Source organism: Homo sapiens, chromosome 15 (assembly GCF_000001405.40).
Source record: "Homo sapiens chromosome 15, GRCh38.p14 Primary Assembly".
In the NCBI taxonomy this organism is placed as follows: Eukaryota; Metazoa; Chordata; class Mammalia; order Primates; family Hominidae; genus Homo; species Homo sapiens.
In genome coordinates, this window is record NC_000015.10 from 32,585,905 (window position 1) to 32,613,475 (window position 27,571).

General features: G+C 45.2%; 1 protein-coding gene, 1 long non-coding RNA gene and 1 pseudogene across 2 annotated transcripts in view, besides 2 other annotated features; 2 read left to right on the plus strand and 1 right to left on the minus strand.

The window, feature by feature from the left end:
* Window positions 1–200: 200 nt before the first annotated feature.
* ARHGAP11A-DT (ARHGAP11A divergent transcript) overlaps window positions 201–27,571 on the minus strand; it is a 28,642-nt gene continuing 1,271 nt past the window's right edge. Inside the window, exons 2-3 of the long non-coding RNA NR_135833.1 lie at window positions 17,203–17,299; window positions 201–356 (exon numbers count right to left, since the gene is read on the minus strand). This is a non-coding gene — a long non-coding RNA (ARHGAP11A divergent transcript). The remainder of the gene's footprint in view (window positions 357–17,202; window positions 17,300–27,571) is intronic.
* On the plus strand, window positions 7,552–21,333 carry GOLGA8N (golgin A8 family member N). The gene is made up of 19 exons (NM_001282494.2): window positions 7,552–7,697; window positions 9,364–9,483; window positions 10,374–10,433; window positions 10,615–10,695; window positions 11,547–11,585; window positions 11,848–11,895; window positions 11,984–12,068; window positions 12,164–12,273; window positions 13,323–13,409; window positions 13,516–13,623; window positions 13,819–13,906; window positions 14,283–14,539; window positions 14,795–14,863; window positions 16,109–16,184; window positions 16,616–16,707; window positions 17,282–17,382; window positions 17,465–17,562; window positions 17,658–17,813; window positions 17,899–21,333. The coding sequence occupies exons 1-19, from the start codon at window positions 7,650–7,652 to the stop codon at window positions 18,072–18,074; spliced, it is 1,899 nt and encodes a 632-aa protein (NP_001269423.1). The 5' UTR covers window positions 7,552–7,649; the 3' UTR covers window positions 18,075–21,333.
* Window positions 8,683–27,571: part of a non allelic homologous recombination region, noted in NCBI's record as "15q13 distal microdeletion recombination region, recombines with the 15q13 proximal microdeletion recombination region", that runs on past the window's edge. NCBI's record gives the evidence for it as "EXISTENCE:DNA microarray evidence [ECO:0005524][PMID:25326701]" and "EXISTENCE:nucleotide sequencing assay evidence [ECO:0000219][PMID:25326701]".
* Window positions 14,376–14,925: an enhancer, noted in NCBI's record as "H3K4me1 hESC enhancer chr15:32892481-32893030 (GRCh37/hg19 assembly coordinates)". NCBI's record gives its function as "activates a minimal SCP1, AML or CMV promoter by ChIP-STARR-seq in primed H9 embryonic stem cells {active_cell/tissue: H9 hESC(primed)}" and the evidence as "EXISTENCE:reporter gene assay evidence [ECO:0000049][PMID:30033119]".
* On the plus strand, window positions 16,217–16,507 carry RN7SL286P (RNA, 7SL, cytoplasmic 286, pseudogene; annotated as a pseudogene).

A 27,571-nucleotide genomic window follows, 5' to 3' on the forward strand; every position in this document is an offset into this window, starting at 1 on the left:
ACTCCAGACTTTTTAACACTGATCTGCTGCTGTTGAGGCATATGCCGTTTTGTTAGGCCTCCTCAAGTGGGAATCAGGAATGCTGCTGTGTTCCAGAGAGGTTTTGTTCTTCCTGTAGGGCTGAAGCAGTGCCTACTCAATAGAACCAGTCATCGTGCAAAGACATGCCACCTGACTCAAAGGCAAAGCCAGAGTGCAGCTTGGAGCAAAGAAGGTATTTTATTAAGAATTTTCCATAAACCATAAGATATATTTTATATTACTTTGCGAGCCTTCTTCCTGTCTTGACTTAATTCTTTTTGAGAGAATTCATTTCATTTTCATTTGGTTGGTTTTCTTCTTGTTACAAAGATGATCTATAGAAAATATAGAAGTATAAGAAAATTAAAGATACTAACTGATAATTGCTTAATGATTTAGTATCTGCTTGTTTAGTCTTTGTTATATTTACAGTAGGCAAACATGTCTACCGTTGTGAATTTATTACTGGTATGTATACCCTAGTAAGTTAAAAGTTGTACGTACTTTGAAGTTTTGCAAAATTGAGTTCATATTATAGAATTAATTCCTGATGAACTTTTATGTGCTAGGCACTGGTCTTTTTATTTAATTATTTATTTTTACTTTTTTTTCCTCTGTGCCTATGCTTACCAAGTCTTTTTATTTTTTACTTTTTATTAACTCTTTTAATCCTCTGGATAAATTAAAAAGAGGTTATTATTAATATCTGCATTTTGTAGATGAGGTAACTGAAGGTAGGTAACTTGTCCAAGGTCACAGGTGGCAGAGCAAGGATTAAAACTAGACAGTCTGGCTGCCCAAGGCCCAACGAAGAGGAGCTGAGAGCAAGCCACCGGGCAGAAGGATGTTGGTCAGGCTGGTTTCCTGTTCAGTTAACAGGAAACGCAGGCTTAACCTTAATTCTAGGACGTTACCGAGAAAGCCTTCCAAAGCCATAGGTTTTTTACCATGACCATGACTTCTTTTTTTTTTTTTTTGAGACAGAGTCTCACTGTGTAGCCCAGGCTGGAGTGCAGTGGCGCTATCTCGGTTCACTGCAGCCTACCTCTCTTGACAGTCCGCTGGTTAAAGTGATTCTCCTGCCTCAGCCTCCCGAGTAGCTGAAATTACAGGCGCCGGCCACCACGCCTGGCTAGCTTTTGTGTTTTTAGTAGAGACGGGGTTTCACCGTGTTGGCCAGGCTGGTCTTGAACTCCTGACCTCAAATGACCCACCTCTGCCTCCCAAAGTGCTGGGATTCCAGGCGTGAGCCACCGTGCCAGGACCCAAGGCCCTTAAGTTTTAACGTCTCATTCTTCAGTCAGGTTTTCCTTGTTCCTGCGTGTTCAGCCATTTGTTTTTAAGTTTGTGTTGAAGGAGAAACTAACAACGAAAATGGACTTGTTGACGGAAGAAAAGTAGGAATGCAGCCTCTGGTGCTGTTTGAGTGATCCCTCTGCCCCAGGCCTGGCTGCGCGCTGCTGTGTTCTGGAAAGGCGCATTGTGCCCTCGCTGTGGCAGGTAAGAGTCCTGTACAGGTGCTCTGCCCACTTTACCTTTCAGGCTTCTGTATCAGCTGTTTTTCCCTTGTAGAATGTGCCCCTGACCTGTGCCCCTGACTTCCACCCCTTAACCCTGCCCAATACATCTTTACATGTCTGACCATCAAGACTCTTCTGGGTCATATTCAGTTCATGCTGATATTTTCCCTTCCTCCCCTCTTTAGTCCTTACTATTTTTGCTTTGGTCATGTTATGCTATATTCTGTAAGCCTTTAAAAATTTTGTTGTATCATGGCAGGGGAGAATATTTTATAATTATGCTTTGTGCGTTTTATCTTCCACTCAATGAATGCTTGGTAAATATTTGTTTTATTGAGTATATGACCCTTTTCTAGCTATACCGTGAACAAAAATGTTAACTGCCTTGTACGTTAACTGCTAAGAATTTGTCAAAAGTGCAGAGATGACATCCAGAACTTGTCAGAATATTACAAAAAGGTCTCTAAGGGCATGATGGAGGTCTGTAAATTGACTTCATGTGAAAGAGTGTAAGAAGTGAAAATGTGAAGCATGACTGGAGAGCCGGAGTGATAAAGCAAGGGTCCCTTTCTCTAGATCCTTTGTAACAGTGTCATGTGACCTCTTCTAGATCATTCTGAAAGACAATGCCAGCTCGGAACCTAGGAAAGCATCCAGTGGGTTTCTGCATGTTAGGTGGTTCAAATCCTCATTAGCACCTTTGTTTTCTCTGCCTCAGTTTGCTTACAGTGATGTTCTCAGTAGCTGTAATTGCTGTCTGTCTTTGAATATTTAAGCATTTTTTTTTTTTAGATCACAGGGTATATGTGCATTTTTATTTTACCAAGTGTTAGAATTTTTACTCTGCCTTTGTGGGCTCTGGGTTAGCTACTTGGCTGTTTCATCGTAAAATGATTAGCAGGAAAAACTGTGTGTGTGTGTGTGTGTGTGTGTGTGTGTGTGTGTGTGTGTGCACGTGTGTATTTTAAGTTTCTTAATTGGGTTGGTACATGTAAACCATTTAGAACAGTGCCTGCTGCATATCACATCCCCATCAGTATTCACGTCTCTCATATTCTACCCTCACACTTGATTGATAGTTTGCTTGATTACGTATTTCTAGGTTGAGGATAATTTTACCTTAGAATTTCAAAGTCTGTGCTGTTGTCTTCTAACCAGTCGTGGTGGCGAAGCCTCATGCCATCCTGAGTTTCACTTGTTTATGCATGACTTTCTCCCTGGAAGCTTTTAGGAGTTTGTCTTTTCCTTGGTGAGCTGAAATAGCACAACAGTGTACTTAGTGTGGGTCTTTTTTCATTCATTATGCTGGGTACACCAAATGAACAGGCCTATGGATAGGCTCTTTCAAAGTTGGAGTCTTGAATCTTGTCATATTTTTGTTGTTAACTTTCTCTTTTCCATTTTATTTGTTCATTTGGAAGTGTCTGTTAATTGGATTTGAGACCTCTTGTCTTGAGTCTTATATCTCACGTTATTTCTAAATGTTTTTTAAATTTTCAGTTCTGGAATATTTTCTTATCTTTCGACTTTCAGGAAATTTTATTTGGACTGTCATAACTTTAAGTTTTGTTTTGGTTATTTATTGTTGCTTAACCAATTATCCCAAAACTTAATGGCCTAAAACTACACATCTGTCTATCTGTCACGACTGTATGGATTACCTGGGGCTAGCTGGACAGTTTTTCTGCTGGTCTCATTTGGCAGCTCTCACTGTGTGGTTAAACAGTGTCAGGGACTGGTCATCTGGATGCTCAGCTGCAGTGGAATGTCTGAGACGGCTTCTTTACCCACAGGTCTGCTGCCTTGGTAATTCTTGATGTGGCCTTTCTCTCTGCATAGCATCTCATCCTCTCGGATCTCTTCATGTGGCTTTTCTTTCTCCAAGAAGGTAGCCAATTCTTATTTTTGGCTTCCAGAAGCACAGAAATGGAGCTGCCAGGAGTTCTTAAGGCTTAGACCTGGAACAGGTCCAGTGTCATTTCTACCACATGCTATAGGTTAAAGTGAGTGTTGGGGCCAACCCAGATTGACTATGGGATGGGCCTGTCTGAGGACATGATGACAGGAGGTATGGCTCATTGGAGACCAACTCCCAAGATGGAGCATGAGTTCTAAGAACTTTTTCTTCTCTGATTATTTCTTATTCATATTGTTTTGTTTTATACATGTAATATATTCACAAGTGTCTTTATGAAGTGATTTTGATACTCTTTGTCTTCTCCCTGGCATCTCCTTGTTCTTTAATAATTTTTTTCTTAGTTTATTTTGGTCTTATTTTTCTTTTTAAAGCCTTTCCTTAAATATCTATTCTATGTTGCTTATCATTTGTAGTCTTTTTTTTTTTTTTTTTTTTTTGAGACCCAGTTTCGCTCTTGTTGCCTAGGCTGGAGTACAATGATGTGATCTTGGCTCACCACAACCTCTGCCTCCAAGGTTCAAGCAGTTCTCCTGCCTCAGCCTCCCAAGTAGCTGGGATTACAGGCATGTGCTGCCACACCCAGCTAATTTGTGTATTTTTAGTAGAGATGGGATTTCTCCATGTTGGTCAGTCTGGTCTGGAACTCCCAACCTCAGGTGATCCACCCACCTCGGCCTCCCAAAGTGCGGGATTACAGACATGAGCCACCGTGCCTGACCTGTAGTCTTTTTTCCATTCCTTTATTTGTTCATTCATATTTGAGAGAGGTACTAAAAGACTGGGAGCCGAGGTGTGGTGGCTCACACCTATAATCTCAGTGCTTTGGGAGACCGAAGTGGGAGGATCACTTGAGCCCAGGAGCTCAAGACTAGTTTGGGCAACATAGTGAGACCCCATCTTTACAAAAAAAAAAAAATAGCTAGGTGTGGTGACACCCATCTGCAGTCCCAGCTACTTGGGAGGCTGAGGCAGGAGGATTGCTTGAGCCCAGGAGGTTGAGGCTGCAGTGAGCTCTGATCATGCCACTGCATTCCTGCATTCCAACCTGGGCGAAAGAGCAAGACCCTGTCTCAAAATAAATAAATAAATAAATAAATAAAAATAAAAATAAATAAAAATTGATTGGGAGTTCTTTGTGGCCAAGACTTGTCAACTGATAGCTTTAAGGGGAATGTATGCTGATTCCTAATTGTTATCCTCCATCCCTCTATCTTATCTCCTGGTGCAATCATAAATGATGGCTGGGTGACTACTCCATTCCTCTGGATGTAAAATCTACATTCTCTTGCCTGAGGTGGATACGTTTGCTTGGGTTCTGTTTAAGGAGATGGGGCCAGCAGTGTGTTTCAGGGCCTGTGAAATGTGTTCTCTATCCGGGCTTTTGCTTAATCTCTGTTTTCAGTCTTGCCTATCAGTCCCACTGTCGGGGGTACCTCGTGTCTGAGTCTAGAACCTTTCCAGGTTGCTGTGGGACAGATTAGCCTCCTTGTTCTCAGTATCCCCCTGACCTCCACCTTTGTTGCTTTGCTCCATGAATTAACCATTTTCCATGTACTGTCATTGTCTAATGAAGATGAATTCTCTTCTGTTGGTAACCCCATTCCTTTTTTGTAATGGTGTGCTTATACAATGTTTATTCTTCACTGTATTTCTATTGGAGCCTCAGGACAAAGAGCAGATGGTGAGAATCTGTGTTCAGTGTTAAGTTTTCCTTCTGTAAGACATGTGCAACTTGTGTTTTTCACTGAATAGATCATGGACTTAATGCATATAGAGCTACTTTGTTTTTCATGATTGTGCCTTCAATTATATGTAGAAATATAATTTGTGAATTGCCTGATGAAATTTTCCTAATTTTGAATTATCTTTGCATTCCTATAATAAACACTGTTAGAATGGCTATGGTAATATTTTATTTTTGCATTTTTACTTCTGTATTAAATAAGATTATAGTTTTGTTTGTTTCCTTTAAGGCTGTTATTTCAGTATCAAGGGTATGCAGGGCTGAGTTGGGAAGCTTTACATCTTTTTTCTAAGATCTAGGATGTAGATCTGGTTTACACAGTAATTTTCAACTGCAGGAGTATTTTGCCTCCTATGGGACGTTTGGAAATATCTGGAGACATTTTTGTGGTCACAACTGGTCATGGTCGGGAGGTCTCATTGGCATTCTGTGGGTAGAGGGAATGTTACTAAATGCCCGACAACACACCAAGAGAACCCTCCACAAAGAATTATCTGGCCCAATATATCAATATTGCTGAGGATGACAAATTCTGGTTTAAATATCCAATTTGGAGGATGAGTCTTTGTCTTTTTCCTTCTTCTGCATATTGGTCTCCAGATTTCCCACTTCTTCAGTTACTTCTCGTAACTGTAGGTTCTTAAAAAAAAATGAACACTTTGGATGGGTGCGATGGCTCATGCCTGTAATCCCAGCACTTTGGGAGGCCGAGGCGGGTGGATCACGAGGTCAGGAGATCGAGACCATCCTGGCTAACATGGTGAAACCCTGTCTCTACTAAGCCAAAATACAAAAAATTAGCCAGGCGTGGTGGCGGGCGCCTGTAGTCCCAGCTACTCGGGAGGTTGAGGCAGGAGAATGTTGTGAACCCGGGAGGCGGAGCTTGCAGTGAGCCAAGATCACGCCACTGCACTCCAGCGTGGGTGACAGAGCGAGACTCCGTCTCAAAAAAAAAAAAAAAAAAAAATGAACATGTCATCCATACTTCTAAGGTGTTGTAAAGATGTGTAAAGTTTTCACTTTTTGCATCATATTCACATGTGGCTATATGCCCTTTTCTCTTCAAAGTTTTCTTTATCTTGATTACTTATCAGAGGCTTGACTGTTTTATTATCTCAGTCTTTTGAAAGAATCCTCCTTTAGTTTTATTTTTTAAATCTAGTGGTTTTTCTTTTTCCTTTTTCCTTAGGTCTTAATTATTTCCCCCTTTTTGTTTGTTTTGCTTTTCCTAGTTTAGTGGATCAATGTAATTTAAATTGCTTTTTAAACAAACGTGTAAGGGTATACATTTTCGTTGGCTGCTGTTTGACTTCGTTGCACAAGTTTTAAAATCTATTTTTTAATAGTTTGTATTTTCTAAATTATTTTATTGCATCTTTTGTTCACATTGCTCTTACTATTAATTTTTTATTTTAATTAATTAATTAATTAATTGAGATGGAGTCTTGCTCTGTAGCCCAGGCTGGAGTGCAGTGGCATGATCTTGGCTCACTGCAAGCTCCACCTCGGGGGTTCATGTCATTCTCCTGCCTCAGCCTCCCAAGTAGCTGAGACTACAGCTGCCTGCCACCACATCCAGCCTTTTTTGTATTTTTAGTAGAGATGGGGTTTCACCGTGTTAGCCAGGATGGTCTCGATCTCCTGACCTCATGATCCACCCACCTTGGGCTCTCAAAGTCCTGGAATTACAGGCATGAGCCACTGCACCCAGCCCAAAAGCTTTGTGCTTTTACAGATATTAGACATGTTTCTTGTTTAAGAAAAAAAATCTTAACGAAAACGTAGGAGAATAAGAGAAACATTTTTCCAAAAAAGAGAAATCATTGTGATTATTTTATCTTATTAGAATGTTGGATAATATAGTCTGCTTCATTAATCATCAAGCATGCTATGCATTTTCCATTTTTATAGGATCTGTATCTCAGTTAAGGTAATACTGGTAATTTTTGTACTGTAATCAAAGATGAAAAATATAGGCCAAAATCATAGACCTTGCATAGAAGCTGGATAATGAAGACAGCTATGGAGAAAAACATAGATACACACACGGACACACATATATATATAAAGTATACACACATATATTTTTTAAAGTTTTAAAGCTTTTAAAGCAAAAGCCAGCCCCTCTTCTCTTCCAGAGTGGGAGGCCTCTCCCCTCTCTTAGAGTGGGTGGGGAGAGCGGTTGCCATGGGCAGCTTTCCTTGTGAGCCACAGGGCCCTCTGGACACGCTGCTGTCTGGCCACGCCCTTTCCCTTTCATCTTTCTCATTGACCAATGGGCTTGGAGCATTAAGGCCACGCCCCTATTCCGCATTCTACTGGGGCCCTGGTTACGCCTCCTCTGGCTCAGTCACACAGCTGCCTGGTAGGTGACTGGAGGCCTTGATCGGTTCTTATTGGGATTTTGCTGCTGTGGCCCCAACCCTTCCTCCCTCCCCACCCTGCGATGGCAGAAGAAACTCAACACAACAAATTGGCTGCAGCCAAGAAAAAGGTAAAAACGCACTAGGTCATAGCCCCTCAACCCAGCCACAGATCCCCTCTGATGACAAGACCCCTGCCAGAGTCTATACGACTCCTGAGGCACACTGGACTGGTCCCCCCAACCCCGGTGCCTTGGGCTACCCCCACCAAAGTTTTGTCAGTCAGCCCCACCCCTTCAGAAAGCAGCCCAGTCCTTGCCCTCGCCAATCACCCCAGGGTGACTTTGGGTGGGTGACTCCTGGGGCTTCCCGCTCCATTACTGGGCCGTCATCTCCTGCCGCCCCAAGCTTGATCTCCGTGGGCTCTTTGGGCTCTCATCTCCAAGGAGCCAGGCCCCACCCTCGCCAGTCATCCTTGGGTGACTTTGGGCTGGTGACTCCTGGGACTCCCTGCTGCAGACTGTGCCCTCCCCTCCTGCTGCCTCAAGGTCGACCTCCCTGGGTTCTTTGTGCTGGCGTCTCCAAGGAGCTGGGTCCCAACCCTGTGCTTCCCTCCCCCATCGTGGAGCAGCGACTTGGACATGGTGCTGACATGGTCCCTCCCCCCGACCAGGAGGAGTGGAATGTTGTGATGTCACAGTCCACCTAGTAACTGCCGTTACTGCAAGACTGGCCTTTGACCTTACGACCCAGTCCCCTAAGCGTTCTCACCCCGTTTCTGGTTCCTCTGGTCACAGCACAAATTTCCAGCTGGAAGGGGAATGGAGACTATGGGACCTAGGAGCAAGAGGTTCCAGGCTGCCTCACTCCCTTACAGATGTTGACGGTGGGAAAAGCCTACACTTCCCCCATGAACTCAAAACAATGACAGTATCTCTGGGTGGCAATGAGAGAATGGGTTTGATTTGGTTTTCTCCCAGGCTTCTACTTTCCAGAGAGATTTTAACATTTTTTTCTGAGTTCTCCACCTCATATTCTAATTCTCCATGGTTCTGGGACCAGACTCTCCTTCAGTCAGTGGTCTCTGAAGTGAGATTTGCTCATCTTCTGTGGAATAGATCTTGGGAAACTGAACTTGACACCTTGAATCTTCCTCATATTATCTCAACCTTGGGTACTTTGAGTGCCACAGGATAAATGTGGGACATCTTTCTGAAGCATCAGTTTCCCTTGATTCTCTTGAGATCAAGAGAAAAAACATGAATGTACTTAGGGATGACAGTCACATAGGTTTCTAAGAGTATACCAGACCTCTCTCTGAAATGAGGCTTGGGTTGTCCTCTTTCTGATAAATTCTGATTTAAGAGAAAGGCTGCCTTCTGCCATGAGGACACATTGATATAAAAGTTTGAGAGGTACTGGTGCACTTCTTCACACTAACAGACGTGTGAGGATGTATGACTAAACCACATGGCATACAGTTCCTGCCTACTTAATGTTTACTTTTCTACCTCTGCCTCTGGTTTTGGTCCCTGGCAGCTGCTGATTCTTGGCAAAACCTCAGAGCTTGGAGTCAGAAGACTGAGTCTCAAAGTTCCAGTATTGCCTTTTTCTTTTTTTTTTCTAGCCATGATATCAATCCTTCTCAGTCACTAAATGAGTGTGACAACACCTTGTACAGTTGTTGGTGTCATTAAATCAGACGGTGTGTAAGTGTATTTTGTAAAAACTGTAAAGGAGGTTGTGGCTGTAGGGGCTGACGGTTCTCATGAATATTACTGCTCTTCTTTCCAACAGTTAAAAGAATATTGGCAGAAAAACAGACCTAGAGTTCCAGCAGGAGTGAACAGGAACAGGAAAACAAATGGCAGTATCCCTGAGACAGCCACTTCCGGTGGTTGCCAGCCACCTGGGGATGTGAGTCTTGGCTGACCAGGCTTCTGGGGACAGGGGGCCCAAGGGGCAATAGAGGGTAATTCTTAAGATTGTGGATGGACTGCTGGGTACTGGTTAAGAATTCTGGCTTTAGCCGGGTGTGGTGGCCCACGCCTGTAATCCTAGCACATTGGGAGGCCAAGACAGGCGGATCATGAGGTCAGGAGATCGAGACCATCCTGGTTAACACGGTGAAACCCTGTCTCTACTAAAAATACAAAAACATTAGCCACGCGTGGTGGCGTGTGCCTGTAGTCCCAGCTACTCAGAAGGCTGAGGCAAGAGAATGGTGTGAACCTGGGAGGTGGAGCTTGCAGTGGCCAAGATTATGCCACCGCACTCCAGCCTGGTGACAGAGCAAGACTCTGTCTCAAAAAAAAAAAAAAAGGAATTCTGGGTTTGAATCCTGCCTCTCCATCTGCTCTGCTAGGGATATGATTTAGGGCAAGTTGCTTGACCTCATTGGGCCTCTCTTTTCACATCTGTATAATAGAGGTGTTATTGTTTCACTTCCATTTGTGAAGTTTAAATGAGATTTGTTATTGTTGTTTTTATGTTAATCCCTAGTACATGGCCTGCTGTAAACACTCAGGACACCCAGGATATGGTTTGATTTTCCTCATCCCCAGTCTCAAGGGGAAACCAGGACAAAGAGAACAGCCACTTGCCATCAGGAGTCACTGAAGGGGCCCCAGGATGGGATGGTGGGGAGATAAGAACCATGAGAGAAGTTGGCACAAAGGAGTTATGGGACAAAAGGTCCAAGATAGGCAGAAAAGAAAATGTTGCAGTTGATGGGGAAGAAAGGAAGTCAGAGGGCTCAGACACTGTGGGGGACAGAACATCTCCATGTGCACTCTCATCTCTTGTAGTCAGCAACAGGTTTCCACAGGGAAGGCCCTACATCATCTGCTACCCTGAAAGATCTGGAGGTAAGAGGCTCTGGGTGGAGGTGCAGTGACCCTTCGGGTCAACCCTCCAACCTCCTCCTCCAGGTGGGACTGGGTGCCCCTCTGCCAGCTGAGACAGCCCACACACCCCAGCCCTAACGATCGTTCTCTCTACCTCTCTCCCCACTCCTGCTCCACCTCCTCCTCTCTGCATGCACCTCAGAGCCCGTGCCAAGAACGAGCAGTAGTCCTGGATTCAACGTCCGTAAAAATCAGTCGACTGAAGAACACCATCAAATCTTTGGTAAGAGTCCGGTGGGGTCCCCTGATTCCACGCTGCCAATCCTGGGCTCCAGTTTCCCCTTGGGGCCCTGAAGAAAGGGGCTGGGGGTCCCTGGTGCCCGGGACAAATAGGGAGCTTGGGTGCCCAGGCCTCACCTGGAGGGACCCCAGAGCATGCAGCATGGCTCTTCTTTTGCTGCCCTCTTTGCCGACTCTCTCCTCTCCAGACACCCCTGCTCGAGTCCTTGCTACACACGCCCTGGGGTTGTTGCCTCTTGGGGAAGTGCTAGCCTGACTGGTTGTCAAGGGCCCCGTATTTCTGCCATGACTCAGTCCCTAATTTGCTCTTTGATTCTGGACAAGCCACCTCTCCTTTTTGGGCTCGTGTTTCCAGAGGAGGTAGTGAGTATCAAAGGTCTCTGTTAGCTCTCGAGTCTGAGATTTAAAGGCCCCCGGGAATGGAAACCTCAGGGCTAAGGGCTCCTGTCTGTCCTTTTCCATCCTATATCTGCTGTGAAGAACCGTACCTGGCCCATAGGTGCTCAGTAAGTGTTTATTGAATGAACCCACTTTTCTAAATCACAAGCTGCCAGAAGGAGGGGCCTTTCTGAAACTCCATCTCTAGAGGTTTATGTTGCTGTCCTCTCAAGAGATTCCAGATTCAGACTGAGTTCTGTGGCTGTGGGCAAAAGCCAACAAAGACCCAAATCCTCTGTCCTTGGGAGCTTGAGGAGAGTTTACCGGTTCGTGTTCCCATTATGTCTGAGAACTTTGCCTTTAAAATCCATTCCTGGCCCCTGCCTACCGCTTCCTGGTCTGGGGAATAGAGTTGAGGGGGCCACCCTCCATCACCTTATTTGACTCTCCCCACAGAAACAACAGAAGAAACAAGTGGAACATCAGCTGGAAGAAGTAACGTGATTTCGTTTCCTCGCGACATGACTGCTGGGTTTGGGGGGCACTCAGACATAGAGGCCCCAGTCTCGTCTCACCCACTCCCAGCCTGGGGAAGAAGGCTGACCCCTCAGATTCCACCCCATCCCCACAGGGCCCCTGATAACCTGGTCCCATGGGTGGGCCTGTCCTGGGGCATTGGTGGCATTCTGGGGGCATGTCTCTTGCTGTGCCATCTCTGCCTCCCCCTGGTAAGAGCTCTGTCTTCCTCTTCCTACAGGAAAAGAAAGCAAACAACGAGAGACAGAAAGCCGAAAGGGAGCTAGAGGTGAGTGGAGGGTGTGCAGTTTCCTCCTGTCCTCCGGAGAATGTTTCTTTCCTTCTCTTTCAGCACTTGCTTGGCTTTTCTCCCAAAGGTTCAAATCCAGACATTGATCATACAGAAAGAGGAACTAAATACGGACCTGTACCACATGGAACGTTCTCTCAGATACTTTGAAGGTGGGAATCTGGGCACCCTGTCATCCTTCAACCTGGCACTTTGACAGGTCTTCAGGGGGAGTCCTTTGGGCCCCATCTCAACTCTCTCATTACAGAAGAGTCCAAGGACCTGGCTGTCCGTCTGCAACATTCATTGCAGTGTAAAGGAGAGTTAGAGAGCGCTCTGTCTGCTGTCATCGCCACAGAGAAGAAGAAGGCAAACCAGGTGAGTCCAGCCACCTGCCCCATCCCCTGGGAGCCTGGTTTTGCAGATGGAGGAGTGAGCCTAAAGGTCCCTTCTGCAGGATGGCGTGTCCTGCCCAGAAGGCAGCATGGCCATTTCTTGCTACTTTTTTGTATGGTTTTTAGTGGCAGCCTGGGGCCGAGTCAGCTGCTGTGGGTGAGTTGGGGGGTACTGTGGGGAGTGAGCACTGGACGCAGAGCTTGGAGGCCAAGTGCCTGCCCCGCCCTTACCTGGCTGTGGTCTTGGGCAAGTCCTAGTCCTAGGTGGGGTATTGGGTACTTGTACTGTGAAGGTACAGAAGAGTACCTTTAGTATGTTACCATTTCTGTAGAAAGAGGAAACGTGTGTGCGTTGTGTGTGTGTGTGTGTGCATACTGTGATAATATACATAAAACATGTCTGCAAGGGTTCATAAAAAATTCAGGAGAGAGCAACAAGATGGCCGGGAGATACTTCCCTTCTGTACCTTCTGAGTTTTGGACTATGCAAATGTTATCATCCTTTCAAAAAGTGAACAAAAGATTAATTTTCCCCTTCCTATCTGTGCCCCCATCCCCAGCAAGAAAAACGGGCTTAGAGAATTGGATAGACCTGGGTGTTTATATCCCAGCTCTGCCTAAGTGAACTTAGGCAAGCACTTAACCTCAAATACTCCATGTTTTTTCATCTCCACAATAGAGGGAATCATAGTAACTGTCTCCTATGGTGGTTGCGAGGATTAAATGGGATTGTTAGCACGGTACCTGGTGAAGCATTCCACAAAGGTTCAAACAGTGGTAATAATGACAATAATAACAACAGCAATATTATCTGATCTCTCTGGGCCTCTGTTAGCCAGCTATAAACTCAGTCTCATTCCCTGTCCGTTCCAACTTTACTGTGTTCTTTTAAAAACCAGACCACGGGCTTGGAAATGCCTTGATCTTTACTGACCGAGTTGTATATTGGGCCTAGCCCTAGCCCTGTTAAGGGGCACTGTGTGGAAATGCCCAGGCTCTCCAGATTGAAACTTCTCACTCTTCACCATCCAGTTGTCCAGCTGCAGCAAAGCACATACAGAGTGGGAGTTAGAGCAGTCCCTACAGGACCAGGCACTGCTGAAAGCGCAGCTGACACAGGTGAGGTTTTCCGAGGGAGGGATGTGGAAGGACGATGACCCCAGGTGGCCAGGAGCAGGTGAGGACCAGTGACAGCCCTTCCTAACTTCTGTGCCCATTCTTGCAGTTGAAGGAGTCATTTCAACAACTCCAATTAGAAAGAGATGAGTGTGCTGAACATATAGAAGGAGAGAGGGCCCGGTGGCATCAGAGGATGAGTAAAATGTCGCAGGAGGTGAGATCTGACCCTTCAGCCCCCCCACATTAGATAGGTCACTGGATCTTTCTGGGCATCTGTAAAATGGGAATAGTAGAGCCAGAGGTGGTCATGGGTCTGGGCTTTGTGGAGGTGGGGGCAGAGAGGGAGAGGGCAGCCTGTCCAGCCTCCAGCCCCTCTCTCCAAGGCCCTTTCCCCTTGTGCTTTGGGCAGATTTGCACATTAAAGAAAGAGAAGCAGCAAGATATGCGTCGGGTAGAGGAGCTGGAGAGGAGCTTGTCCAAACTCAAAAACCAGATGGGTAAGATGGGGCTGGCATGACCTGGGAGCAGGACTGGCATCAGAGGGCTGTGAGGGTGGCTTAGAGTGCCCCAGGGAGGTGGGTGGATGGAAGGGCTTTGAGGCAGAGGGAAAGAGATCTGTGCCAGGAGACGGCGAGTCTTGTCATCTCAATGAGTCTCAGTGTCTCAGTGTCCCCATCAGCAAAGAGGGCCCGTTGCCAGCCACCCACAGTGCTCTTTCTCTGAAAGTCCTTTGGAAGACTGGCTACCATCTGGGTGCGAGGAATCATTAGCAGTGAGGCCAAGTTTGAGGAGCCTGAGAGGAGCTGTGCGCCAAGAGGAGGGTTTTTCTTTTCCGAGAATCCAGAGGCCCTTATTATCTGCTTCCTTTGTCAGCTGAACCCTTGCCCCCGGAGCCCCCAGCAGTGCCCTCTGAGGTGGAGCTGCAGCACCTGAGGAAGGAACTAGAGAGAGTGGCAGGAGAGCTCCAGTCCCAGGTCAAAAACAATCAGCACATAAGTCTCCTGAACCGGCGACAAGAAGAGAGGATTCGGGAACAGGAAGAGAGGCTTCGGAAGCAGGAGGAGAGGCTTCAGGAGCAGCACGAGAAGCTTCGGCAGCTGGCCAAGCCACAGAGCGTCTTCGAGGAGCTGGTGCGTTGCCCCAACTGGGGAGCCTGCCCTCCTCCCTAGCCCTCCGGGCCTTTGTTTCCCCACCTCTAAAATGGGGCAGTGTAGCCCTCGCGTGAAAGGTTACTTCTAAAGGCACCTGTGAGCCAGGTGGCTGTGGGAGAGAGGGGGTGATTTTTCTAACCTGCCTCCAGCCTTCCCAGTGCCATGGGAGGCAGACACCAAGTTCTGGGGTCTCCAGCTGCAGTGGGTGGCTGCTGATTGCTTCTCTCTGTCCAGAACAATGAGAACAAGAGCACACTGCAGTTGGAGCAGCAAGTAAAGGAGCTACAGGAGAAGCTTGGCGAGGTGAAGGAGACGGAAACCTCCACCCCATCCAAGAAGGGCTGGGAGGCGGGCAGCAGCCTCTTGGGAGGGGAGGTGCCAGGTCAGAGGCAGCTTCCAGCCTGGGGGCTGGTGACCACAGCACCCCGCAGGGCAGTCCTGCGACTGTTTCTCGCTTCCTGCCTCTGACTTTTAAAGGTGGGTAGCCCTGGGCTCCTCTCAGGTCTGGACATCATCATCCCAGCTAGAGGCATGGAGCCCCCAATCACAGGGGAAGAGACAGTGCTATAACAGGCTCCTTATACCAGGTGCAGTGGCTCATGCCTATAATCCCAGCACTTTGGGAGGCTGAGGCAGAAGAATCACTTGAGGTCGGGAGTTTGAGATCAACCTGGCCAATGTGGTAAAACCTCATCTCTACTAAAATTAAAAAAAAAAAAAATTAGCAGGGCATTGTGGCGCATGCCTGTAATTCCACCTACTCGGGAGGCTGAGGCACGAGAATTGCTTCAACCCAGGAGGTGGAGGTTGCAGTGAGCTGAGATTGCACCACTGCACTCCAGCCTGGGCCACAGAGTGACACTCTTGTCTGAAAACAAAACAAAAAGACTCCTTAGATTGAAACTGGATTCCAGCCTCGGTTCCACTGGTCACCATTCAAGTACTTTGCATCTCTAAGTCTCTGTTTCTTTAACTTCAAAGGGAAGTTAGCATTTTCCTTACAGAGGTGCTGAGGATTAAATGAGAAGAGGGTATGAGATTTGAGGCTGGGGAAGGAGGCATGGGGTTCTAGGAAAGGGAGGCAGTCACTTAGGCCTGGAGTAAGGGGACAGGGGCCTGGGTAGCTGACAGAGCCCCACAGTGCCCTCGCTACCCTATTAATGGGCCCAGAATCTGGAAACCAGCCACCACGTGCCCTCACACCCAGGGTCTTCCTGCAGGTGGAGCTGAAGAGCCAAGAGGCTCAGAGTCTGCAGCAGCAGCCAGACCATTACCTGGGTCACCTGCAGCAGTACGTGGCCACCTATCAGCAGCAGGTGGCCGCCTATCAGCAGCTGACCTGTGAGAAGGAGGCGCTGTACAGGCAGTGACTGCAACAGACCCAGCTAATGAACCAGCTGCAGCAGTAGGAAGCTTGGGGCAAAGCAGTGGCCGAGATGGCCTGCCAAAAGTTGCAGGAGACCCAGGGGAGGGAGCTGCCGAGGATGGGGCTGTGAGGGGGACGACCTGGCAAACTCCATCCCTTCTCACTCTTTCCTGGCCCCTTAGGAGCACCTGGAAGCGGCCAGCCAGCAGAACCAGCAGCTAACGGCCCAGCTGAGCCTCATGGCTCTCCCTGGGGAAGGTACGGGAGACCGCTCAGAGGAAGAGGAGAGAGCCCCAGGAGGAAGGGGGGACTGCTAGCAGCATAGGATTGAGGAGTTGGAAGAGACCTTTAGAGCAGCTGGTCATTATGCCGACCGGGTGCCTGCACTAAGTTCGGCATCAGTGTGGTGACCTCCTGTGAGCGGGCGGTCACCAAGTTGCCTAAGGGTGGCTGAACTGGCCAAGGTCAGAAAGGGAGCAGGTCAGAACTCCCACATCGACCAGTAGTGGGAGTGTGCCTGGGCGGAATAGCAAGATCTTGATTCTTAAAAGTAAAAATAAAGAACAACAGCTCATTCCTCTCTGGGGAGGGGCTGGCTCAGGGTTACACAGTGAGGGTGGAGGTAGAGGTGGGCCCACAGTACCTCCCTTGTTGGGTTGTCTGAAGACCCCTCTGGCCACCCCCCACAGGACACGGAGGAGAACATCTGGACAGTGAGGGGGAGGAGGCACCTCAGCCCATGCCGAGTGTCCCAGAGGACCTGGAGAGCAGGGAGGCCATGGTGAGCCTGACTCCCCCTGCACCCATTTTGCCACCTTTCTCTGTGGTCCCTCCAAGACCCCTTTATGCTCTTCGTTTCCCTGCCTTCTGATTTCTCTGGACCCTCACCCCTTCCGAGAGCCAGTGGTCAGACACCATTTCACCTGTGGCCAACAGGTGCACTCTCTGAGGCCCCAAGGGAAGGGGCTGCGCTCCACCTCTCTGCCCCATTTCTTCTGTGTATGCCCCTAGAAGAATGCTCACATCTTGCCCTCAGGTGGCATTTTTCAAGTCCGCTGGAGCTAGTGCCCAGGAGAAGCAGGCACAGTTACAAGAGCAGGTGAAAGAGCAGAGGGTGTGCTGCCAGCGCCTGGCTCACCCGGTGGCCTCGGCCCAGAAGGAGCCAGAGGCGGCCAGAGGCCCTGGAGCCCCAGGGCCTGGGGGCGAGTCTGTGAGTGGGGAGACCCACTGGGCCCTGCAGGAAGTCACGGAGAAGCTGGCCCATGCCAGGACTCACCTCCGCCTTCTCCATGACTTGAAAATGCCACCTGAGGGCAGGTCGCTGCCGAGATGTGACTGCAATATTTTGGCTCCAGAGCAGCTTTATGGACCACCTGAAGGAGAAGGCAGACCTGAGTGAGCTGGTGAAAAAACAAGAACTTCGCTTCATTCAATACTGGCAAGAGAGATGCCATCAGTGAGTGGGAGGCCAGGGCACGGCAGGGGGAGCTACAGGGCCATCAGAGGGGCCCCAGAATCTGAGCCCTGTCCTCCCGCAGGAAAATCCATCACCTTTTATCAGAACCAGGGGGCCGTGCCAAAGATGCAGCACTGGGAGGAGGACACCATCAGGCTGGAGCTCAGGGAGGAGATGAAGGTAGGGTGTGCAACATCTCTGTGGGGGTGGGGGTGGGGGTGGGTGTGAGGGTGGGCGCAGGCAGCGGCATGGCAGCTGAGCACCCCTCCCTCCAGGTGAAGCTGCTGGAGCTGCAGCAGATGGTATTGCGGCTTACAGCAACTACAACAATGGGCACAGAAAATTCCTGGCCGCTGCCCACAACTCTGCTGATGAGCCCGGTCCAGGAGCCCCAGCCCCCCAGGAGCTTGGGGCTGCAGACAAGCATGGTGGTGAGTAGAGCCCTCAGGTGGGGTGGGTAGGCAGGAAGAGGGGGGCTCCCACTGTGCTCAGATCCCCGCCTCCCTCTCTCCAAAGATCTTCGTGAGGTGACCCTCACCTCCTCTGCCCAAGGAGAGGCCAGGGAGGATCCTCTCCTTGACAAGCCTACTGCACAGCCGATCGTGCAGGACCACCAGGAGCACCCAGGCTTGGGCAGCAACTGCTGTGTGCCATTATTTTGTTGGGCTTGGCTGCCAAGAAGAAGGAGATAAACATCACCATCATCAAACAGCTGCTCAAGAAATTTTTAAATAAGAAACCAAGTTATGGGGTTAATCTCCTACACAATTCATTTACTTCCTTTGAATGTTAGACTCACTCATGATTATTTGTGTTTCTAATTTATAGTTTAAGTTTATTTGTAAAAAGTTAAAAGAGAGTGTGTGTCTGTGGCTCTCACTGATGTTCACTCTGGCATCCTTTAGCATTTTTCTTTTTTAATTTCATAATTGTAGGTCATTAGCATGCATATCGAGTTTGCCCTTACGTGGTGGGAGTTCAAACACACAAAGACCCACTCTTTGCCCAAAACTGTTCTCTTTGGTTTGGAATAGGCTGCCATGCTTTTTTAATGTTATTGCAGCATGTATATTCACTACAGCATTCAGACAAAATTTGCCTATGTTCTGCTGTTGTTTGATCTAATCTTAATCACAGTGAGCTCTTCCTTAGCTCAATATGTAGTTTGCCCCCAAGTGTGCACTGTTTATTACTTTGTAATACGCCACTATGAGTACTGACATTTAGAGTTGTTTAAAGGCCAAGAATTGGAAACAGCCTTTCCTCCATTTTCTGTGTATTGGTGATGGGAGTGATAACCTTTTGGGGGAGCTTTTTAAATCTCACAGAAGAGGAAAGTGGCCTCCTCTGGCAGGTATGTGCAGGATAGAGTGTGTTTCATCTCTTCCGGTGCCAGGAATTAGCGGTGTATTATGGTGGTGCCCTTAGGATTTGTATGTGCTCTGGGCTCATGAAGATATTGCATCATGAGCTGCAGCAGTTGCACTCTTTTTCGATGACCTAAAAAGGGCTTATTTCTGAGGAATGAAAGGTTCCCATCGTTGACTGTGGATGTGGAAAACCTTTCCTAGCTTAGAGCATTTGTATCTACAATACATTTTAAAGTCAGAGTTCATGTTACCTGTTTTAATCACATGACTACATGCCCCAGTACACAAAAGGGCACTGGTTGGCATTCTTCTTAATGTATTTAGTGAAGATCATAAGAAATCCTTTACGAGTTCAAATGTCCCTGGAACAGGCATACAGGCTCTAGTCAAGAATGAATTAGAGTGAAGGAAAGCTGTGTGACTCCTGGCATTCCTCTCTGTTCACGGAGATTCTTTGAGGCTTGAAGATTGATTTTACCATCTAGACCTCTTTGGCTAATACCTATTCTTCAACCACCTTGGTTACTCTGATATAGGAATTTACTTCTTTTTCTTTGAATGGAAAACACTTTAAAAAAAATAGAAACATTCTTATAAACTAATATATGTGAGATAGTTGAAACAAAAAGGAGTTTTAGTAGATGGTATTATACTATCTTTGAAAATCAAGGAGAAGTTTATGAAACTTAAAATGTGTACAAACTGCAGTGCAATCTACTGTTGTTCGTGAATGTCAATGTATTATCAGGAAACGTGTCTATACAACCACAGAGTTATATTTTCTCACAAACTTCTTTACAAAGTGAAATATGTTTTTGTACCTCTGGGTTTCTGTTCGGGACATATTTTGTGCGATATTTATGTGATTGTGCCTATGCATGATGAATGAATGCATTTCAGTTATGTATTGCCTAAATCGTAACTTGATGATGCTTGGGAAAGACTCAACAGTTAAAACTTCATGAAGTTCTAATGTCTGTGTTCCAAAACACATCACATTGTTAGGATGCAGGGAGATAGGTGTGTGTGCTCCCTGCGGTGGGGATTTCTAGTTACTAGATCATCTCCATTTTTAGCATTTGGCATCCTCATGATACTTCTATAAATATGACATTAACAGGAGAGCAACAATACGATTTTACCGATGGAATAACAGATTTGCTGGCATTCACTGAAAGAGTGCAAATATTCGGTCCTTGTGACTTCCACTGACTCTTCCAAATTTTATGAATGTATCAATGTATTAGATAAACCCAGTTTCAGAATGATAAAGAAAAAATCTTAGACCAAATAATGCGGCTAATTAACAGTGGTACGATTTCTAGCCCGTGGGTTTAAAATGCACTTAAAGTCCTGTTCTCGCCTTTTATTTTCTGAACTTGCCGCTTTTGCATTCTTTGAGTTCAGTTTAAAGACAGTTACTTTAAGAGCATTTTAAACCCTCGGGCTAGAAATCGGACCACTGTTAATCAGCCACATTATTTGGTCTAACGTTTTTTCTTTTATCATTCTGAAACTGGGTTTATCTAATACATTGATAAATTATTTCAAAGGTACTTTTATCGTTGAAATCACTTCACTTTTACCCTGATAAATATCAGTGACTAGGAATGACCTTCGGATAGCGTTTAGCATCTGTAACCAATCTGACAATAATGTGTTCATGAGGTGCCTATGGATTAAATCACACACTGGCATATTTAAGCTGAAGGTCAGTCTGGAAAATAAATTTACTATATTGACTGAAATACCACTCTTTGTGTAGGTATTTGTCATATATTTAAGAAAACACTAAAAAGAATGGAAATTGTATGACAATAACTTAAGTCTTTCTCCAAAGTGCATGCAGTCTTTTGCGATACCTCATTCAGCCGAGTATTTGTACTCTTCCTCATTCAGTATAAGGAAGCTTTCAGTTTGCTTAGAAGGCAACATTGGAATGTTAGAGTTCATGAGAAACATAGAATTTTAAACTGTGAGTTCCACTGAATACATTTTAATGTCTGTAGGAAGAATCAAAACACCTATTTAAAGATGGCAATATATAATAATCATTTTAAAAGTATTTGATTCAACCTAATTTTCCAGAAATGAAAAAAAAAAAATCAGCTCTAAAACCAAAGCTGATTTCAGAAAATTTGAAAATGTAAATCAGCCCTATCCATAATATAGTTTCTCTAAAACTTTATCTTAGTCATTTTAAAATAATATAACTATTAAAAAATGTAACTGCTATCTTAATGTTCTGAAATAATTTAAAACATTTTAAAATATGAATACTGTAGTATAAAAGAAAGAAATGGTGGGAACGAAAAGCAGAGAAAGAAATGCCAATTCCAGTCCAAAGTTTTATTTGCCAAGTTTTCTTAGAATGAATTTTACCAGTTTATGAATTATTGTAAACAGAATGTGTCATGGAAATACTGAAAGATTTTTCCCTAGAGTGGCCTTATTGACTGCTGGTGTGATGCCACTGTAATGTAATAAATTATTAAATTGTTTCAATGTGTTGTTTTTGCCTTAAAATTTTATTTTGCGTTTCTTGAAAACTATAGTATTAAAGGTATTGATACTGTGCAAATGCTGGGCATGCTTGGCATGAGATAATGTGTTTCATTTTTACAAAGGTGTAATATAACTATGCAAGTGTTTCTTAACACAAGATTTAAAAAGTTATGGGATTAAAAGAAGTTATGGGGTGAAAAAGTTATGGGATAAAAAATGTAAAAACGTTGTGGCAAAAAAACTTGTGGGAAAAAAGTAGAAAACAGTATTATGAAAAGTTACAAAAGAAGTTATGAAAAAGAAGTTACGGGATTTTTTTTTTAAAAGTCATGGAATAAAAATAAAATGAGAATCATAAGAGAATCATTGAGAATCATAAAAATGCAGATTCTGATTCAGTAGGTCTAGGGTGGGGCCTGAGTTACTTCTTTTTTTTTTTTAGACGGAGTCTTGCTCTGTCGCCCAGGCTGGAGTGCAGTGGCGCGATCTCCGCTCACGCAAGCTCCGCCTCCCGGGTTCACGCCATTCTCCTGCCTCAGCCTCCCGAGTAGCTGGGACTACAGGCGCCCGCCACCACGCCCCGCTAATTTTTTGTATTTTTTAGTAGAGACGAGGTTTCACTGTGTTAGCCAGGATGGTCTTGATCTCCTGACCTCGTGATCCACCCGCCTCGGCTTCCCAAAGTGCGGGGATTACAGGCGTGAGCCACTGCGCCCGGCCCTGATTTACTTCCTTTCATGCACCACATAGCAATGTTTCGGTCAACAATGGACTACATATATATCTATCACTGTCTTCCACCTCCACATTCTGTCCTACTGGAAGGTCTTCAGGTGCAATAACACAGAAGGAGCTATCATCTCCTATGATAACAAGGCTTTTTTCTGGAATAGCTCCCCACAGACCACCACAAATATGTGATGTGAGTAATGAACTGTGCTACAGTGATGCTACTACGTCAACAACATCACTAGGCAATAGGAACATTCCAACTCCATTATAATCTTTTTTTTTTTTTTTTTGAAACTGAGTCTTGCTCTGTCGCCCAGGTTGGAGTGCAGTGGCACGATCTGGGCTCACTGCAAGCTCCACCTCCCGGGTTCACGCCATTCTCCTGCCTCAGCTTCCTGAGTAGTTGGGACTACAGGCGCCCACCACCACGCCTGGCTAATTTTTTTTGTATTTTTTAGTAGAGACGGGGTTTCACCGTGTTAGCCAGGATGGTCTCAATCTCCTGACTTCGTGAGCCGCCTGCCTTGGCCTCCCAAAGTGCTGGCATTACAGGCATGAGCCACTGCGCCGGGCCCCAACTCCATTATAATCTTATGGGACCAGTGGATATAGATGATCCTGACCCTGCTCAGGCCTAGGCTAATGTGTGAGTTTGTATCTTCATTTTGGTTTTGTTTGGTTTTGTTTGGTTTTGAGACAGGGTCTCGCTCTATCGCCCAGGCTGGAGTGCAGTGGTGCGATCTCAGCTCATTGCAACCTCTGCTCCCCAGGTTCAAGCAATCCTTCCACCTCAGCCTCCCAAGTAGCTGAGACTATAGGTGTGTGCCACTATGCCTGGCTATTTTTCATATTTTTTTGTAAAGGCGGGGTTTCGTCATGTTGTCCAGGCTGGTCTTAAACACCTGGACTCCAGCAATCCACCTGCCTCGGCCTCCCAATGTGCTGGGATTATAGGTGTGAGCCACCACGCCCAGCCATGTCTTGGTTTTTAACAAAAAAGTTTAAAATGTAAAAAAAATAGAAAAAAATCCTACCGAATATGGAAAGAAAATATTTTTGTACAGCTGTACAATGTGTTTGTGTTTTGAGCTATTACTACAAAGGAGTCAAAAGTTAAGAAAATTTAAAAGCTGATGAAATTAAAAAGTTATAGTAAGCTAACCTTAATTTATTACTGAAGGAAAAAATTTTAATAAATTTAGTGTAGCCTAAGTATATGCTGTTTATAAAGTCTATAACAATGTACAGTAAGGTCCTAGGCCTTCACATTCACTCACCACTCACTGACTCACCCAGAGCAACTTCCAGTCCTGCAAGCTCCACTCATAAGTACCCTACGCAGGTAAAATTTTAAATCTGTGGCCGGTCGCAGTGGCTCACACCTGTAATTCCAGCACTTTGGGAGGCCGAGGTGGGCGGATCACAAGGTCAAGAGATCAAGACCACCCTGGCCAACATGGCGAAACGCCATCTCTACTAAAAATACAAAAATTAGCTGGGCGTGGTGGTGCACGCCTATAGTCCTAGCTACTCGGGAGGCTGAGGTCGGAGAATCGCTTGAACCCGGGAGACAGAGGTTGCAGTAAGCTGAGATTGTGCCACTGCAATCCAGCCTGGTGACAGTGCAAGACTCCATCTCAAAAAAGAAAAAAAAAAAAGAAAAAAATTTAAATGTTATATCATAAATTTTAAATCTGTTAAGATACATAAATACTTGGTATTGTGTTACAATTGCCTACAGTATTCAGTACAGTAATCTGCTGTACAGGTTTGTAGCCTAGGAGCAATAGATTATATCACATAACTAGGTGTGTGTGTAGTTGGCTACACCATCTAGGCTGATGTAAGTACACTCTATGATGTTTGCACAATGACAAAATTGCCTAACAATGCATTTCTCAGAAGGTATCTCTGTCATTAAGAGACACATGGCTATAGTTTCCAGGCGATACCTATGCCGTATTTGAATAGCAAGGCTCTAGTTTAGAGCACTGTTTAGGGAAAACCACTGGCCCTGTATCTTAAGTTGGGTTGCCTGAAAAACAGGTACTGAGATGGAGATTTCCCCACAGGAGGCTTACTTGGGAAGGCTCTTGGAACAACACAAGTAAAGGAGTAAAAGAAACAGGATTGGGCAGCCTGTGAAACAGTTGCCACCATCTCAGCTGCTCCTTCAGGAAGCTCTAGAGCTGGGAGGTCCTTCCGTTGTCTTGAGATATGGGGACCAGGCCTATGAAACCCCATATTAACCAGGCATGGAATGTAGACTGCCCAGAGGAAGGCATCACTTGGGGTGAGGCAGGTCCTTTTCATGGAGCAGCTCTCAGAGGGGGACTTTGTTGTGAGCCATGAGGAACCAACACTTCTGCAAGTGGGGCGAGTGAGCACCTCAGCCTGGAGGGGGATCTAGGTGAAGCACCACAGTGTCTACTATTCTGGTGATAGCCCAGTGACCTCAGGAAATCACTGTACTATTTTCCATCTTAGTCCACATTTAGGACAGAATATGATAGACATTTCTGTTTTATTAATAAATGGAACAATGTGGCCGGGTGCGGTGGCTCACGCCTGTAATCCCAACACTTTGGGAGGCTGAGGCGGGCGTATCACGAGGTCAGGAGATCGAGACCATCCTGGCTAACACGGTGAAACCCCGTCTCTACTAAAAATACAAAAATTAGCCGGGCGTGGCGGCATGCGCCTATAGTCCCAGCTGCTGGGGAGGCTGAGGCAGGAGAATGGTGTGAACCCGGAAGGCAGAGCTTGCAGTGAGCCGAGATCACACCACTGCACTCCAGCCTGGGGGACAGAGCGAGACTCCGTCTCAAATAAATAAATAAATAAATAAATAAATGGAACAATGTGTCTGTGGAATGTGCCAGGCCCTAGAAGCAGTGATTCTAGGAACAATCATTTTGGTTTTACAGAAAAAAACTCGGACCTAATTTGAAAGTTGCACAAATCATCTTATTTCAAGCAGGGATGCAGGTAAAAGGTTCAGGAAGGCCCTTTGGCAGACACTTTATGGACTGATTTCACAGAAATGAGGGCTAGGTGAACTAACATCTAAGGAAAAGGATGTGTGCCATCTAGTGGCACTAAAAGCAAAGCCTAATGCTTAACGAAAGATTTCCCTTTTCATCGTCAGGGAACTCAGTGAGGTTTTCAGTAGTGTTTTCCTACTTTTAGAAGTAGGTGTGGGAGTTCACTAAATGAAATAAAATTACAATATCTACAGCTGGATAGCTGTGTGGGGTAACACATAAAATTGGATCCATTCTTTCTACACTGGATAAATTCCAAATTTAAGGACCGGGCGCGGTGCCTCACGCCTGTAATTCCAGCACTTTGGGAGGCAGAGGCAGACAGATCACCTAAGGTCAGGAGTTCAAGACCAGCCTGGCCAATATGGCGAAACCTCGTCTCTACTAAAAACACAAAAATTAGCCAGGTGTGGTGGCATGCACCTGTAGTCTCAGCTACTCAGGAGGCTGAGACAGGAGAATCATCTGAACCCGGGAGGTGAAGGTTGCAGTGAGCAGAGGTCGCATCACTGCACTCCAGCCTCAGAGATCTAACATTAACAAATGAAAACATAGCAGTACTAGAAAATTAAGTACTAGAATTCACAAGAGTGAATACCTTTATAACTCAGAAGTGGGGAAAATACTCCTATCTATGATCAGAATCCAGAAGCATTAAGGGAAGAGATTAACTATAATTTAAACAAACAAAAAAGCAAGGCAAAAAGTCTAAAAAATATATGTAGCTTATATCATGAGGGACTAATATATAAAAAGCTTCTAAAATATTTTTAAAGACCATCCTGAAAGTAAAAGATGGACAATTTAAATAAAAAGAAGTACAAATAGCCCTTAAACAGGTGAAAAGATTGATTTATTGCACTTTGTTTTCCATTTTAGGAGTTGCTTTTACATTTTATTTTATTTTATTTTATTTATTATTATTTTGTTTAGATGGAGTCTCACTGTGTCACCCAGGCTGAAGTGCAGTGGCCGGATCTTGGCTCACTGCAACCTCCGCCTCCCAGGTTCAAGCGATTCTCCTGTCTCAGCCTCCCGAGAAGCTGGGATTACAGGCATGCATCACCACGCATGGCTAATCTTTGTATTTTTAGTAGAGACGGGGTTTCACCACGTTGGCCAGGCTGGTCTCGAACTCCTGACCTCAGGTGATCCGTTCACCTCGGCCTCCCAATGTGCTGGGATTACAGGCGTGAGCCACCACCTTATTTTGTATTTTAAACATGTTACACATTTACAGGGTTCCAAGTTTATATATAAAACAAGATATATTCAGAGAGGTCTAGCTTCCATTCCTATTTTCTACTTCACCTGTTCTTGATCTTCTCCTATTGTTTACCATTTTTATTAGATTTTGGTTTACCTTTCTATTGTTTATTTTTGAAAATATAAGTAAGTATCCATTTGTATATGTATCTCTACCACCCCGTATACCAAAGGCAGCATACTATATACACTCTTTTATGCCTTGCTTTTTCACTTCACTTCACATCATAGTCATATATCTTCCACATTCCTTAACAGCTTCATAATACTTTGTCGTAAGCATGCATCATTTGAAAAAATGTTCCACTTCATTGACAAAAAGATAAATACAAAACTATACTGGAGGCTGGGCGCAGTCGCTCATGCCTGTAAACTCAGCACTTTGCGAGGCCGAGGTGAGTGGATAGGTTGAGGTCAGAAGTTCGAGACCAGCCTGGCCAACATGGCGAAACCCTGTCTCTACTAAAATTACAAAAATTAGCCAGGCGTGGTGGTGATTGCCTGTGGTCCCAGCTACTCAGGAGGTTGAGGCAGGAGAATCGCTTGAACCTGGGAGGCAGAAGTTGCAGTGAGCCAAGATAGAGCCACTGAACTCCAGCCTGGGCAACAGAGTGAGACTCCGTCTCAAAAAAAAAAAAAAAAAAACTACACTTTGATAACATTTCCCACATATCGATTTAGCAAACATCTAGGAGTTTGACAATTCATTCTATTGGAGAGGCTGCAGAGAAACAGGAAATGCTGCTGGTGTGAATACAAAACTGCACAACCCCTATGAAGGGGAATTTGGCAGAATTAAACAAAATAACATGTTCTTTTACCCTTTGACCTAACAATCCCATTTATAGAAATCTATGCTAAAGACCCACTGGCAAAAGCATATTATATATGCACAAGGAAACTTTTGTATAGCAAAAGACTGGGAATAGCCAACATATCCACTAGTAAGGGCCTGGCTAAATAAACTACAGTACATCCATATATAACCAAAAAGAATAATTATGCCCAGTTCATTTAAAACACAGTATCTTGATTTTACATCCTTAGTTGGATACAATTTTAGAAAAAAGGAAGTACATGCAAAGTTAAACTTCATTTATCTGTTAGCAATATCTCTATTGTTATTCTGTTTTTATTCTTTATCCTGTTATTGCTATTGTTGTGTTTATATACCTGTGAATATAGGTAGATGAAGCAAATAACCATTATGTTAATATTAATATTTATTAATAGTAACATTAATAATAAGGCAATGAAAAGAACCAATATTTT

What these genes read in the sequence shown, in the direction of transcription:
- GOLGA8N (NM_001282494.2), top strand. Translation starts at nt 7,650, where the DNA reads ATGGCAGAAGAAACTCAACACAACAAATTGGCTGCAGCCAAGAAAAAG. An exon ending in CTACCCTGAAAGATCTGGAG is followed by an intron (nt 10,434 to 10,614) that starts GTAAGAGGCTCT and finishes CATGCACCTCAG; the next exon opens with AGCCCGTGCCAAGAACGAGC. An exon ending in TGGAACATCAGCTGGAAGAA is followed by an intron (nt 11,586 to 11,847) that starts GTAACGTGATTT and finishes CTCTTCCTACAG; the next exon opens with GAAAAGAAAGCAAACAACGA.